Source organism: Homo sapiens, chromosome 4 (genome assembly GCF_000001405.40).
Source record: "Homo sapiens chromosome 4, GRCh38.p14 Primary Assembly".
Taxonomy (NCBI): domain Eukaryota; kingdom Metazoa; phylum Chordata; class Mammalia; order Primates; family Hominidae; genus Homo; species Homo sapiens.
The window spans coordinates 93,058,451-93,071,132 of record NC_000004.12 but is presented as its reverse complement, the minus strand read 5'-3'; the positions used below and the strand labels follow the sequence as shown (position 1 = coordinate 93,071,132).

The 12,682-nt window shown below is 32.8% G+C and overlaps 1 protein-coding gene across 12 annotated transcripts in view; it reads right to left on the bottom strand.

The window, feature by feature from the left end:
- GRID2 (glutamate ionotropic receptor delta type subunit 2) overlaps positions 1–12,682 on the bottom strand; it is a 1,506,491-nt gene that overhangs the window by 739,324 nt on the left and 754,485 nt on the right. Inside the window, exon 1 of one of the 12 annotated variants that reach the window (XM_017008119.2) lies at positions 4,123–4,350. The exons of the other annotated variants lie outside the window; for them this stretch is intronic. Coding sequence (XP_016863608.1) covers positions 4,123–4,186 — 64 coding nt within the window. The 5' untranslated portion in view covers positions 4,187–4,350. Of the gene's footprint in view, positions 1–4,122; positions 4,351–12,682 lie in introns of those variants that run through there. 12 annotated transcript variants of the gene reach the window in all.

Here is a 12,682-nt window from a genome sequence, read left to right as displayed (position 1 = left end):
AGGAAGAGAGTGGAAAGAATCTGCCCTTCATAAGAAAAGTGTTGTTTGGCATTCCCTATGCACACTATTTGAAAATATTGATATTCTTTTGTAATAAGACTAGAATATATAAGCTCTATGAGAGGAAAGATACACATTTTTAAAAACTCAGATATGCTTGGCGTATAGAAGAGTTCAGTAAATATTTCTTAAACTGTGAGTATAACGTAATAAATTAGAACATTTAATTCATAGCTAGAAATTCATAGCTAGCATACTCCACAAAAGCTTTTATAGTAGTGATATATCAAGTACAGTCTGTTGCCTGTTTATTCTGTAAACATTCATTTCAAAAGTGCCTAAAGTTTTATTTGACTAAAATGATCTTGTAATAAGATATATTTTAGATAATTTTAAAATTGGCAGAAGAATGTATTTTGGTTTAAAATGAACTTAAATGGCTATTCTATTTATTTTATAGCAACTATCAAAACTCATATGACCTTGGTAATATAGTATATTCATTCTAATTCATTATGGTTTCTCTTTTTTCTTCTATCTTTAATCAGTGATTCTATCTTGATCTGATTAAGACATATAGTTGGCAGCAGGAGCTGGATCACAGTTATCCATTCATGAATCAATCATTATTATTACAATTTTTTGATAATCACATTTCACTTAGCATAAAATGCATTTGGATTTATTCTCTGCCAGGAAGTAATCTTTTACCATCTGCAGTTTGTTATCATATTCTAATTTCACTAATAATGCCTTTCAACTTAGTAGCAGAAGCATTTCTATTTCTGGGGAAAAAAAACTGTCTATGCACTTTACAAAGCTATGGAACAGTGCATGAGGTCAGAAACACTATTTAATGGTTAGCTTGGCCCCTGCTAGCAGCAATTATGAAGTGAAAGGAGATAATTCCTGAAAAATATAGTATAAAATTTGTGGCAAAAGACAGCTTTTCACTCAGTCATGTGGACTCCTTTCTCTGATATGTTTTTATAAGTAGTATTGTGCAAGTTTAAAAGGACTGTATTTAAATATTTGACACTAATACTTTTTGTGTGCAACTTAAATATAAAAAGGTAATGTTTCTTCTAAGTGAAGACATAAAATCAAAACACTAGGCTAACAGAAAAATCTTTCTAACCATTGACATCAGCATGAAAAAATTAAAAACTGAAACAACCAACAACCAAGTAAGCCCCCATTTTTCCTACTATTGCCTAGAATCTGTTGCTTTCAGAGAAAAGGCATGAGTAAATGTGCTCGCTCTATAATCTAGAGGCCTAAGTGTAAGTGAGGAATCTTGATTTTTAGTTCCAGTTTAGATGTGAATCAGTGTTGTGCTTGGGCAAAAGTCATTTTTCTCTTTGGGTTTCAGTTTCTTCAGGCATTAAAGGCAGTGATTGACCGACAAGATGGTTTTCAGGCACCTCTCTCAGGAGAAAACATAACGACATTTCTCTCTTATTCTCTTCTCCTTGCTTCAATTACTGACCAGTCCTTCCTCCAGTTGGCACATTCTAACTTAATTGGTTACCTTTTGACCTGAGAAAATTCTGTTTCTTCAAAGCGGCTTTACATACTCAGGATTCATTATCAGACATTTTTACTTTACTGTTTCTATGTTGGGGGTTGGGTGCTACTAGAGTCAGTACACCCTTGTAAGCTTACAGTGATAGCAGTATGATGAAATCTATTTATAATATGCCTTTTAAATAATGTCCTGGTATTTTGGATATTTTTCCCCCCACTGTGTAAGGGTTTATGGATTTTTCAGAGAAATGCTTTCCATTTACAATGAAACCAATTTCTTCTAAGTATATATATACACACATGCATATATATATACATACACGCACATATATATTATACACACACACATATATAATATATAATTATATATTAATATTACATGGATTGATATAGTTTGGATGTTGTCCCCACCCAAAACTAATGTTGAAATGTAATCTCGAATGTTGGAGGTGGTGTCTTGTGAGAGGTGATTGGTTCATGGTGGTGGCTTCTCATGAATGGGTTAGTACCAGCCCCCCGATACTGTCCTTGTGATAGTGAGTCAGTTTTGGGAGATCTGGTCACATAAAGTGTGTAGCACCTCCCTCCTCTCTCTCTTGTTTCTGCTCTGGCCATGTGATGTGCCTGCTCCCCCTTCACCTTACACAGTGATTATAAGTTTCCTGAGACATCCCCAGAAGCCAAGTAGAAGCCAACATCATGCTTCCTGTATAGCCTGCAGAACCATGAGCCAATTAAATCCCTTTTCTCTATCAATTACCCAATATCAGGTATTTCTTTATAGCAATGCAATAATGAAATAATACATGGATGTATATAAAATCACATTTAACACCTTCTCTTCCCCCACACCTCCCCGCAGAATAGAAAAGAGGTAAAGCTCTAACACGAGATTACTGAATTTTTTTTTTTGTAAATAGGAAAGGCTACTTTGAGTAGGAAATTATGTTTCTTGTGGATATATATCAAAGAAGCAGTCTCTAGAAATAACATTTCTGATGAAGACATTCTCTTCCCTATATCTTTACAGGAAACACAGTAATCTTGTATAATTGATTACATCTACTATGACATAGTTCCCTGAACTCTTTTCACAAGTGATATCCATAGAAATTGTTTTAACGAGAGTTAGATGTTCCAATTGCAAAGAAATGTTCTGTCTGCAGTAATAACATAATGATATTTTCCATAATTCTGAAAATTTCATTTCAAAGCCTTTTTAATCTCCTTTCACCCCCACAAATGAGGCAAATACAGTACTATGATCACTCTTTACTTTACACATACTTGTACACAGTGACCATTGTACTCTGCTTGCCTCGTAAGGTTTTTGCTAGTCACAAATTAAAACATGTATCAGAAAGTCCTTTCAACAGCAAAGTTATACTTTACTATAATTTGCATTACCATTATTCACATTTTTTAAACTGAAGGATTCTAAAGTATAGCTTAGCATAAAATGCATTTGAATTTATTTGGAGTTATTGATTACTGAAGATCATAATCACTTTGAGATTAAAGTCTATAACCAGTGATTCAATCAACTATTAAGGATATGCCCAAATGAATAAAAAAGAAAAGGTAATACCAGGTCTTCTCACTCTTTAGAAGCTTACAGTTGCATTGAAGATTCTAGGCTATTCAACATTAATCAAATACAGGTGAAATATTTTAAAAAGGCATATAATTAAATATGTAAATATTACTTAGGTTCAAAGAGGACACATGCTGTAATATGATTGGAACTAATTTAGCCTAAACTAGTTGGATAATCTTTGCTTAAGAGGCACATTAACTCTTAAGTCCTTTAAAAAGGGTACCAGTTTTTAATTATTTTTTTTTACAGGCACAGTGTCCCTGCTTAATAAATATTTGTTAAACAAATAATAAGGTGGCTCTTGAAAGTTTTTTTTTCTAACTGAAGAGGAAAATCTCTTTTTCTTGATCTTAGCTTGAGCTAAAATAGGGTAATCATAAGTGCTATGGTCTGAATGTATGTGTTCCCCCCAAATTCGTATAATAAAATCTCTCTCAAGGTGATGATATTAAGATGTAGGGTCTTTGGGAGGTGATTAAGTCATGAAGGCAGAGCCTTATAACCTGATGAAATAACTTCAATGGGATAAGTAACCTTATAATAGAGGCCTGATGGAGCTTCCTTCTCCTTCCACCATAACAGAACATGGGCCCTTACAAGACACCAAATCTGCTGGCACTTTGATGTTGGACTTCTCAGCCTCCAGAACTGTGAGAGGTACATTTCTTTTGTTTATAAATTACACAATCAAAGGTATTTTATTAGAGCTGCCTGAATTAACTAAGATGATAAGGGTGCTTGGCAAAAGAGATAATTTAAGAATTAATGGAAATACCATCTCAAAAAACATGTACTACCTCTAGGTTTCTGGGCAACCTCACTGCAAATAGCTCAACTTGTAATGCAGTCATCAGAGAAAGGCTTGTCATAATTCAGTAATCATCCCTTATTTACAATTTTGCTTTCCATGCCTTTAGTTACCTGGAGTCAACCATGGTCTGAAAATACTAAATAGAAAATTCTAGGAATAAGCAATTCATAAGCTTTAAATTGCATACCATTCTGAGTAGCATAATGAAACCTCACACCATGCTGCTTCTTCCCTCCCAGGATGTGAATCATCCACACTGTACATGCTACCTACCCATTAGCCACATAGTAGCCATCTGGGTTATAAGACAGACTGTCTCCATTATTAAGTAAAATAAGTAGAGCTTGTATTCAAGTAACTCTTATTTTACGTCATAGTGGCCCCAAAGTGCAAGAGCAATGCTGGCAATTTGAATATGCCAAAGACAAACTGTAAGGTGCTTCCTTTAAGTGAAAAGGCAAATTCTTGACTTAATAAGGAATGAAAAAAAATCATATGCTTAGGTTGCTAAGATCTATGATAAGAAAAAGTATTTTATCTTATTATAAGATAAAAATATTTCTACATAATTCTGAAATTATACAAAAAGAAAAAGAAATTTGTACATAGTACATATAGGCTACAGTATTATCTATAGTTTCAGTCGTCTACCAGAAGTCTCGGATGTATTCCCTGTAAACGAGGGAGGACCAATGTATTAATTTAAGAGGAGGAATTTCATAGAGTACCAGGAATTATAAATAGCATGGAAAAGTAGTCATTTCTGTGTCAGGCAGAGAGAACTGCTGATTGAATATTAATTTGTCCAGGCAAATCTTTATCCAGGAATAGTAATTATAGTCCCTCTTATCCTCATCAAATAATGGTCTATTTAGTGACCAAAGGTTTAATAGTAATGAGATGAACAGATGTAGTGAAATTACTGTGTTACTTTTCTCTATATATCTTAGTACCATCACATGTTAATTTTCTATGAAATCTTTATAAAAAGGGAGAACAAATACCATTTTGATAATGACATTTGGTCAGTGTATAATCTAAACTCCGGTGTGCTGGTTACATGTGTATGCTCTGAAACTAGAATGCCTGAGTATTAACTCTGGTTCTATGCTTTTTAGCAGTGTAACTTCAGGGAAGTTACTTAACCTCCCTGAGTTTCATTTTCCTCACCTCTAAAGTGGAAATGGTATCATTATACACCACACACCACTAAGTATCACTATGGGAACTGAATGAGTTAGTATATCTTAGAGCAGTGACTGATACATAGTGAACACTCAGTAAATGTTAGCCATTGTTTTTAGATTTGAATTTTCAAGTCAACGGAATCCAGAAAGACTGTGTGTAAGCTAGTGTATTTAGCAAGGGCAGATGGGATACAGCTAAACAGGAGCTTAAAGAACCATAAGGAAAAATGAACTGTTAACAGTTGTAGATAAAATTTTGAATCACTATTGATACAACAAATGACTACCAGCTACCTGCTTCATGCAAACCCGTGTTTGGTGCTGTAATTCAAGAAAATAATGAATTCCATGAAAATTCCTTCTTGCATCCCAAGCTTTAGTTCTGAATTTTAGGTTTTTAACTGTTCTTACAATGTTCCTATCTCACATCTCTTGCATATCTTCTTTTAGTAGCATTTTCAGAAAGAGATCAAACTTGTTTTCCAACCTGGGGATGCCTTTAGAGCTACACATAAGTTATGACTGGGAGAGATAAAGTAAAAACAGTCACTTCTTTTGGCTTTTCCATGAGTGCAATCAGAGGAATCAGCTAAAATAATTAAAGCTATCAGCTTGAAATTTTCTCTTACTGTGAGTAAATAAACTTGTGCAAATTGTGTATGTCCCTGAAACATCTTGCTAAGACACTGTGATGAAACCAATGTCAATGACACACAATGACAGTCTGGTTTTTTAATCAGAATTTAAATGAGATAACTTTTAAATATAATCTCTCAGTTTCTGAAATTTTAAAACTAGGTTATGATCATCTCATGATTTACAGAACTCACTTGGGTTTTTTTCTCTACTCACCAATAAGTAAAAAATGCAAACAAAATTTACTAGTATGATCTCAAAAATATTTTTTAAATTTTAACACATTTTCCTCCCTATATTTCCCCCGTTTTTACTTTGTATTGAAAAACACAAAAACACGATAGCCTCAATCTTATTTAGTAACTCTTCTTAAAATGACGAATAAGTTTTGAAGAGTATCATTTCCATTTATAAAACAACAGAATGATTCGCCAAATCTATAATGGAAACAAGTAACAATCTACTTGGAATAAGCACATTCTTCAATCAATTCATTATAGAAATTTTTAAGACAAGGATGATTAGACTGAAAACAAACTTAACTAAAGCATTAACATGAAATGTCATTAAACATATGCTAATATACGTAGAAGACTGACACCAACTATTTGGGATGCAGTAGAAAATTATTGGAAAATAAGGCCAATTTCATTTCCTTTCAAGTTTTAGATGTGAAACACAATAATCTCTGGTTCAAGCAAAAAGATCTGGAAATTTGGTTAAACCCAATCTTTTAGTTAGTAATTCACAAGGATGCTTTCTACCTTGATGAAACCCATGCAGTGTCACCTACTCTGTCCTGACTTTGTGCTTGCCTATTAAGGAGAAACAACATGGAAGAAAAAGCCTAGACAAAAGCTGGTAAATGTGGAGAGAGAAACAATCCACACTGGTAGAAGCTCTTGAATTTAGTATATGTCCTGGCAAGGAGCTAGTAAATGCTGTTATAAATTTATTTTACATTTCTAAAATTATAATTCTATTGTAATTCATAAAATTATAAAATTAGATCTTATTTCCAAAGCTCCAAGCAGTAGGTCACATTACTATTTCAAAGCAGAAAAAGAAAATGCATAGGAGAGAGTTACACACAAAAAAAGGCATTCTTGATTTTATTATCTGTAAGTAGTGATGGAAAAAATACAAGAAGAAAAATATATAAATAGATAGTATTAGGTTGGTGCAAAACTAGCAAAATCTGCAATTACTTTTGCACCAACTTAATATTATGTTATTATATATATTATATTTTAATAAATTAATGTTATAAGTTTTACTGTTATATAGTGTATACCATTAACATTGTAACATGTAAATGTAACATTAACAGCGTAATATGTTAAACATGGAATATTATTAAATATAATATATACACATACATATATTTCTTATGTTACTTAAATTTCTGATATTGTGGGACATTGAGAAAAGATAATTCCTTTAACTTTAAACAAAATATATTTAGAAACTACACGGTAGGCTTTGGTGAATAAAATACAATTCTTGAATTTAAATATTTTTTAATCAATACGGAAATTCAGCCTGGATATATAACTTCCTAAATAATACTTGTACAATTCAGTTTATTTGTCTGCAAAAAGGAGATATTAATGCTTACAGGTCTACTTAGAAACATTAAAATTTTTGAAAGATGTAAGCTCTGATTCCAGTTATTAAAAGACAGTTACTTTTTCATTTCAAAATTCAAAACTATATAAAATAAAATATTTAGTCCCAAAGATGAAAATGCTTATTAGAAAAATCAACACTATCATCCACAATTTTTACACTTGACAGCTAACCATTAGTCACATCCTAAGTATCAGCCAAGATCATTTCTTATGTTTTACTCTATACATTTGAGTATATCCATGTATAGGCTGTGTAAGTGGGAGGAAAATGAGATTGGTTCACAAGGAGTTAGGAGAAATTAATTGCAGATTTGCTGCCCTGAGTAAATACTCCTAAAGTTTATTGTAAAACTTGATTGTTATAAAGTATGTATCTTCTGCACACAATTCCCTATGCAAAACCCATTAAGGATTGTGCTAAAGATGATCAAATTGTTAAGTGAAACAGAATCCTTCATATACAGAATTATCAGATGTGAGTGAAAACATGCACACCTCTTAGTGTCAATCTCTTTTATTTAAGGTTAAAATGATATCATTATAATTCTAAACTGCAAATGCTTCCCATATGTTGAATTTCATAGTACTATTTATTCAATTTCTCCTTTCGCCCGAGAAAGTTTTGTATTTCAAAATAAAGAGAGTGTAAGAAAGCCCAAACATCACTGTTACCAGATAAGAGTCTTGAAACAGAATGCAGCCATCTCACTACAATTAATACCTCACTAAAATAAGTTTGCTCTCTTTAAATAGTAATGTCTTCAACACAACAGATAATTTTATATTAGGATAAAATATTTTCAGGCAACTTGTTTTATTCATAGATATATGCAATTTTAAATTGTCTTTTAAAGATAGTGAAGATCTAAATGAGAATAATTAAATCAGAAACAATTCTTATACTATTTTAGTAAGTGGCACTGACATGGAAACTGCCTCCTTTCCTGAATACAGAAAATACTTTTATAGAGTCAAGGTCAACTTCGTTCCCTTTCAAGAGTTTAAAAATGTTGAATTGACTTTAAAACTATCTAAAGGTTTATTTTAATAATACATAATGGAAATGATCTCTCTTTTTAGCCCTGAAGTGACTTTGACAAACTCTAGTTTCACTTTCTTGAGTATGAATGAAAAGATTAAGACAAAAAAAATCAGGAGGAATCAGAGTCAAAGAAAATGTTTGATATTTTCTTACTGTTGTATTCACATTATCACAGGGAGTATAACTAGTGCACAACACATGTCTAATGACGCTCTTTGGTGAATGTATCAACAACTATCTTTACCATCTAGCCAGAAAAGACATTATATAAGAGATAAGCAAATATGATTCTCTTCATATCTTTGTATGGATATGAGGACAACTTTATAATTGCTAGATTACTTCTCTTCCTCTTCTTCCTCATTCTCCATCTTATTTTGAAATTTTGGTAAATATAAAATGTGAAAAGAAAATAATAACTGAAATTCTTACCACTAAAAATATATTATCAAATTATATTCCCAAGTTAAAGATACAGCATATTTTATATTTAGATGTATAAGATTTAGAGGTTATGTAAATGAGAAAACCTTAAGCTCAAATCCCTTTAAAAGTGATATTTGTTAGAATGAATTATATAGCTCCTGGGAATAAAAGAATTAACAGCAAGTCTGTAACTGCCTCATTTCCTCCTGGGAGGGGTCAATGTCCACCTTAATCAGACCTCTTATAAATATTCTAATGTATTACCTAGCTGAGCCACAGGACAGGTGCTCTTATCTAAGAATGTTTTTGAGGTTGAGGCTATTCTTAGTCTAACTAGATTGCTTAGTGTAAGTAAGCCCTATTTGTGAATTAACCTGGCATTTACGGATTCCTCGAAAGCACTTGACTGGAGAATAGAAGCTGTCAGGTAGTGTCTACCTCAATGTGGTAGCCAAGTGTCTAAGAAGTCATACACTTTCTGGGTGCTTAGCTGTCATTTAAAAAGCAAAATGTGTTCTAGTGTGGAAAAAGATACTTTTGGTAGCTGCACCAGACAGGATGGGGAATATTCTAGAGAAGACTGCTGTATCTCTGCTTAGTTTTCACTTGTGCCTTTTACCCATCATTACTAAATGCCACTGTTTAGTATTGTGAGTTGCTAGTCTGCTTTGATAATTCAGCCCTTTATGGTACAAGCAGTTCCCAGCCTTCACTTTCTTCTTTCATAGAATTGTACGTCAATACCCTTTGGCATATTATGTTGCAATGCCCATCACTAGAATTGTTGGAGTTTATTTTTCTATCCATTGATTTTAAGCTTGGCCATATGACTTACTATAGTCAATGGAATGCTAGTAGCCAGGATTTGGCCTTGTCTCTGGTACGTCTACTATCTATCAGAAAAGCATGTTCTATCTAGCCGCTGGTCCCCAAATAAGAGACATGTGAAGCCCATCTGAGCTGGCCCTTCATAGCCTGAATCAGAAAAATCCCAGCCCACTCACAGATAAGAAAAATAATTTTATTGTAACCCCCTGAAATTTCAAGGTATTTGTTAGGCATTAAAAAAAAAAAAAAAACAAGAAAAACCTGATGAATATATAAAATTAAAAGAGATATTTCTACAATGGCTATTTATTTATTTATTTATTTATTTATTTATTTATTTATTTTGAGATGGAGTCTTGCTCTGTTGCCCTGGTTGGAGTGCAGTGGTGCAATTTTGGCTCACTGCAACGTCCGCCTCTCAGGGTCAAGCAATTCTCCTGCCTCAGCCTCCTGAGTAGCTGGGATTACAGGCACATGCCACCACGTCTGGCTGATTTTTATATTTCTAAGTGAAGTGGGGTTTCACCATTTTGGCCAGTCTGGTCTCGAACTCCTGACCTCAGGTGATCCACCTGCCTTGGCCTCCCAGAGTAATGGGATTATAGGTGGGAGCCACCACACCCAGCCTTTAATAGCATTTTATTTCACCTGTTGCATAACATACTTTCAAACTTGCATTTAAATTAACTAGCCAAATTGGCTTCTGCAAAATTTTGTAAATTTATTTTTGAAAAACAAACTAAAACAAAGTCATTAGGAAAAAAGTTAGCAAAAGTAAAAATATATGTGTTGAAAAGTCACATATTGTAGAATTAAGAATGATCTAATCCTTCCTGCCTTCTTTGGCTATTTCTATGAGCACTTATGGCCCCGTGAAATTACAATTATCATCAAGTTAACATAAATGCTATTCCATTTCATTATATAATTATGTTTTCCTACAGAAGCTGATACTAGCATTTAAAATATGTGACTTTTGGAAAAACATATCATTCCAAATATCTAGAAAATTGACAAGGAAATACTAATTAGCATTTCCTTCCATGGAAACACAAATACTTTATCAGAATATAGCAGGCAGTCAGAAACCTACTATCTGCACATGTGGGAGGACCCGGAGGAGAATATTTCCTTACCATTTGAAAAGTCCAATTTTTTATTTTTCCAAAAAAGCAAATGAATCAACATAGCTATGACAATCTACATTGAGACAGCTTCAGTTTGACTAGACCCAGAGGATAGAGGCTGCTGCTAACCTCATTAACTGGGGAGTCTAAAATGCTGTCAAATTACACACGCAGGGAGGTTTTCCAGTAAACGACAGCATTTCATGCCAAAGCAAACTCTCTCCATGAAAATATCTAGCTGAGCTTTGACTAAACATAAACTTTTTGTTGATCTTAATTTAAACTATAAGCAGACAAAAAAAATCTCTGAGAAAGGAGTACATTAAAAAAAATAGTCTGTGGGCACAATGAACTCAGGTAAAAAATAGTAAAGATGATAGTGGTCTAGATAATTTGAAAAAGAAACTATCAATATAATTGGTATCAGGATTATATATTTAATGACCTTGTTTTATCCAGTAATAAGGTGATAGTTTAAAAACATACTTCTCAGAATACTTTTTTTTTTTTAAAGATCACTGTATTTGGAAAATACAGTGAGGAAAGTTTAAAGCTTTTTGAGTAATAGAATTATGTTTCATTTATCTTTGTATATGGCATAGAACATATGTTTAATTAGAATGTCTTTCTTAACAGAAAAACGTTAAACTAATATTTGGCATATCCATAGAATGAAAAACATAGTACTGTTAACATATTTCATAACAATACATAAAGTGTCCAAATCAATCATCATAAAATTGAAAATAATTTGATTCAACAATTAGTCCAGTGGCTCTTAACTAGGAGCAATTTTGCTCCCCCAGGTGACACTTGACAATATCTGCATACATTTTTTAATGCATCAGGACTGAGAAGCATGTTACTGGCCACTAGTGAGCATGATGGAATTGCTGTCAAACATCTTACAATGCATAGGATGCCCACACAACAAAGAAGCATCCAGTCCAAAATGTCAGTCATGTTGAATTTAGGAACTCTCCCTTTGTCTGAAATGAAACAACTCATTTGTCCAAATAATTTGAATTTCTCATTTCAGACTTCAATAAAAGTTGGAGAAATCTTGAAACCTTTTTCTCTTCCAGATTGGAATATTAACATTTTATACTCATTTGCCTTAATTATGTTTCTGTATTTCTGCCATGCATTTCAAATGTTATCAAATGGAAGAGTGCTCCTTGCATTAACCTGATTGATACATTTACATTATACATACTTGCCCCTCAGCAAGCTCAAATTACTAAGAGCTCCTGGTGTTTCTAGAGATAGAATTTACTTTTTGGTGAAATTTTGCAAGGTGGCTTCTTTCTACTATGTGATCAAGTGCAATGCAAATGGTTATACAGCGTCAGAACAGATTGAATACACACCTGTTTTGCTGAAGTATTACTAGCATTCTGATACAAAGGCAACCAAGTAGTAACAATTTCTTTTATAATGCAGTTATTTTAATATACTGAAATTGCATTAAATTTACTGGGTAAAGAAAAGCATTTATTTGGAATGAGCCAAATGAAAGATACTTTTAATTAGGATATTTAAAATAATTTTAGAATTATATAACTTAAAAATATTTTTAAACATTAAAAATGTACATATATGATGCCTTAAGAAAATTCAGTATGTAATAGGAAGAAAAGTTAGTTCAACTTAAAAATTGAGAGTTTGGAGAACTTTTCTATTTCCTGAAGTAGAACAAGTATTCTACCTTAAACAGTGATTTAAGCAATAACGGCACACATAGCAGAGAGCTTACTGATTACCAATTTCAATGGTGTGGAAGGACAACTAAAAAAAAGCCACGATTTCTTTGGCAAACTCATTGCCTCTTAGTAGTTGAACTAAGTCCAAATAAAAACAAATGGTGATG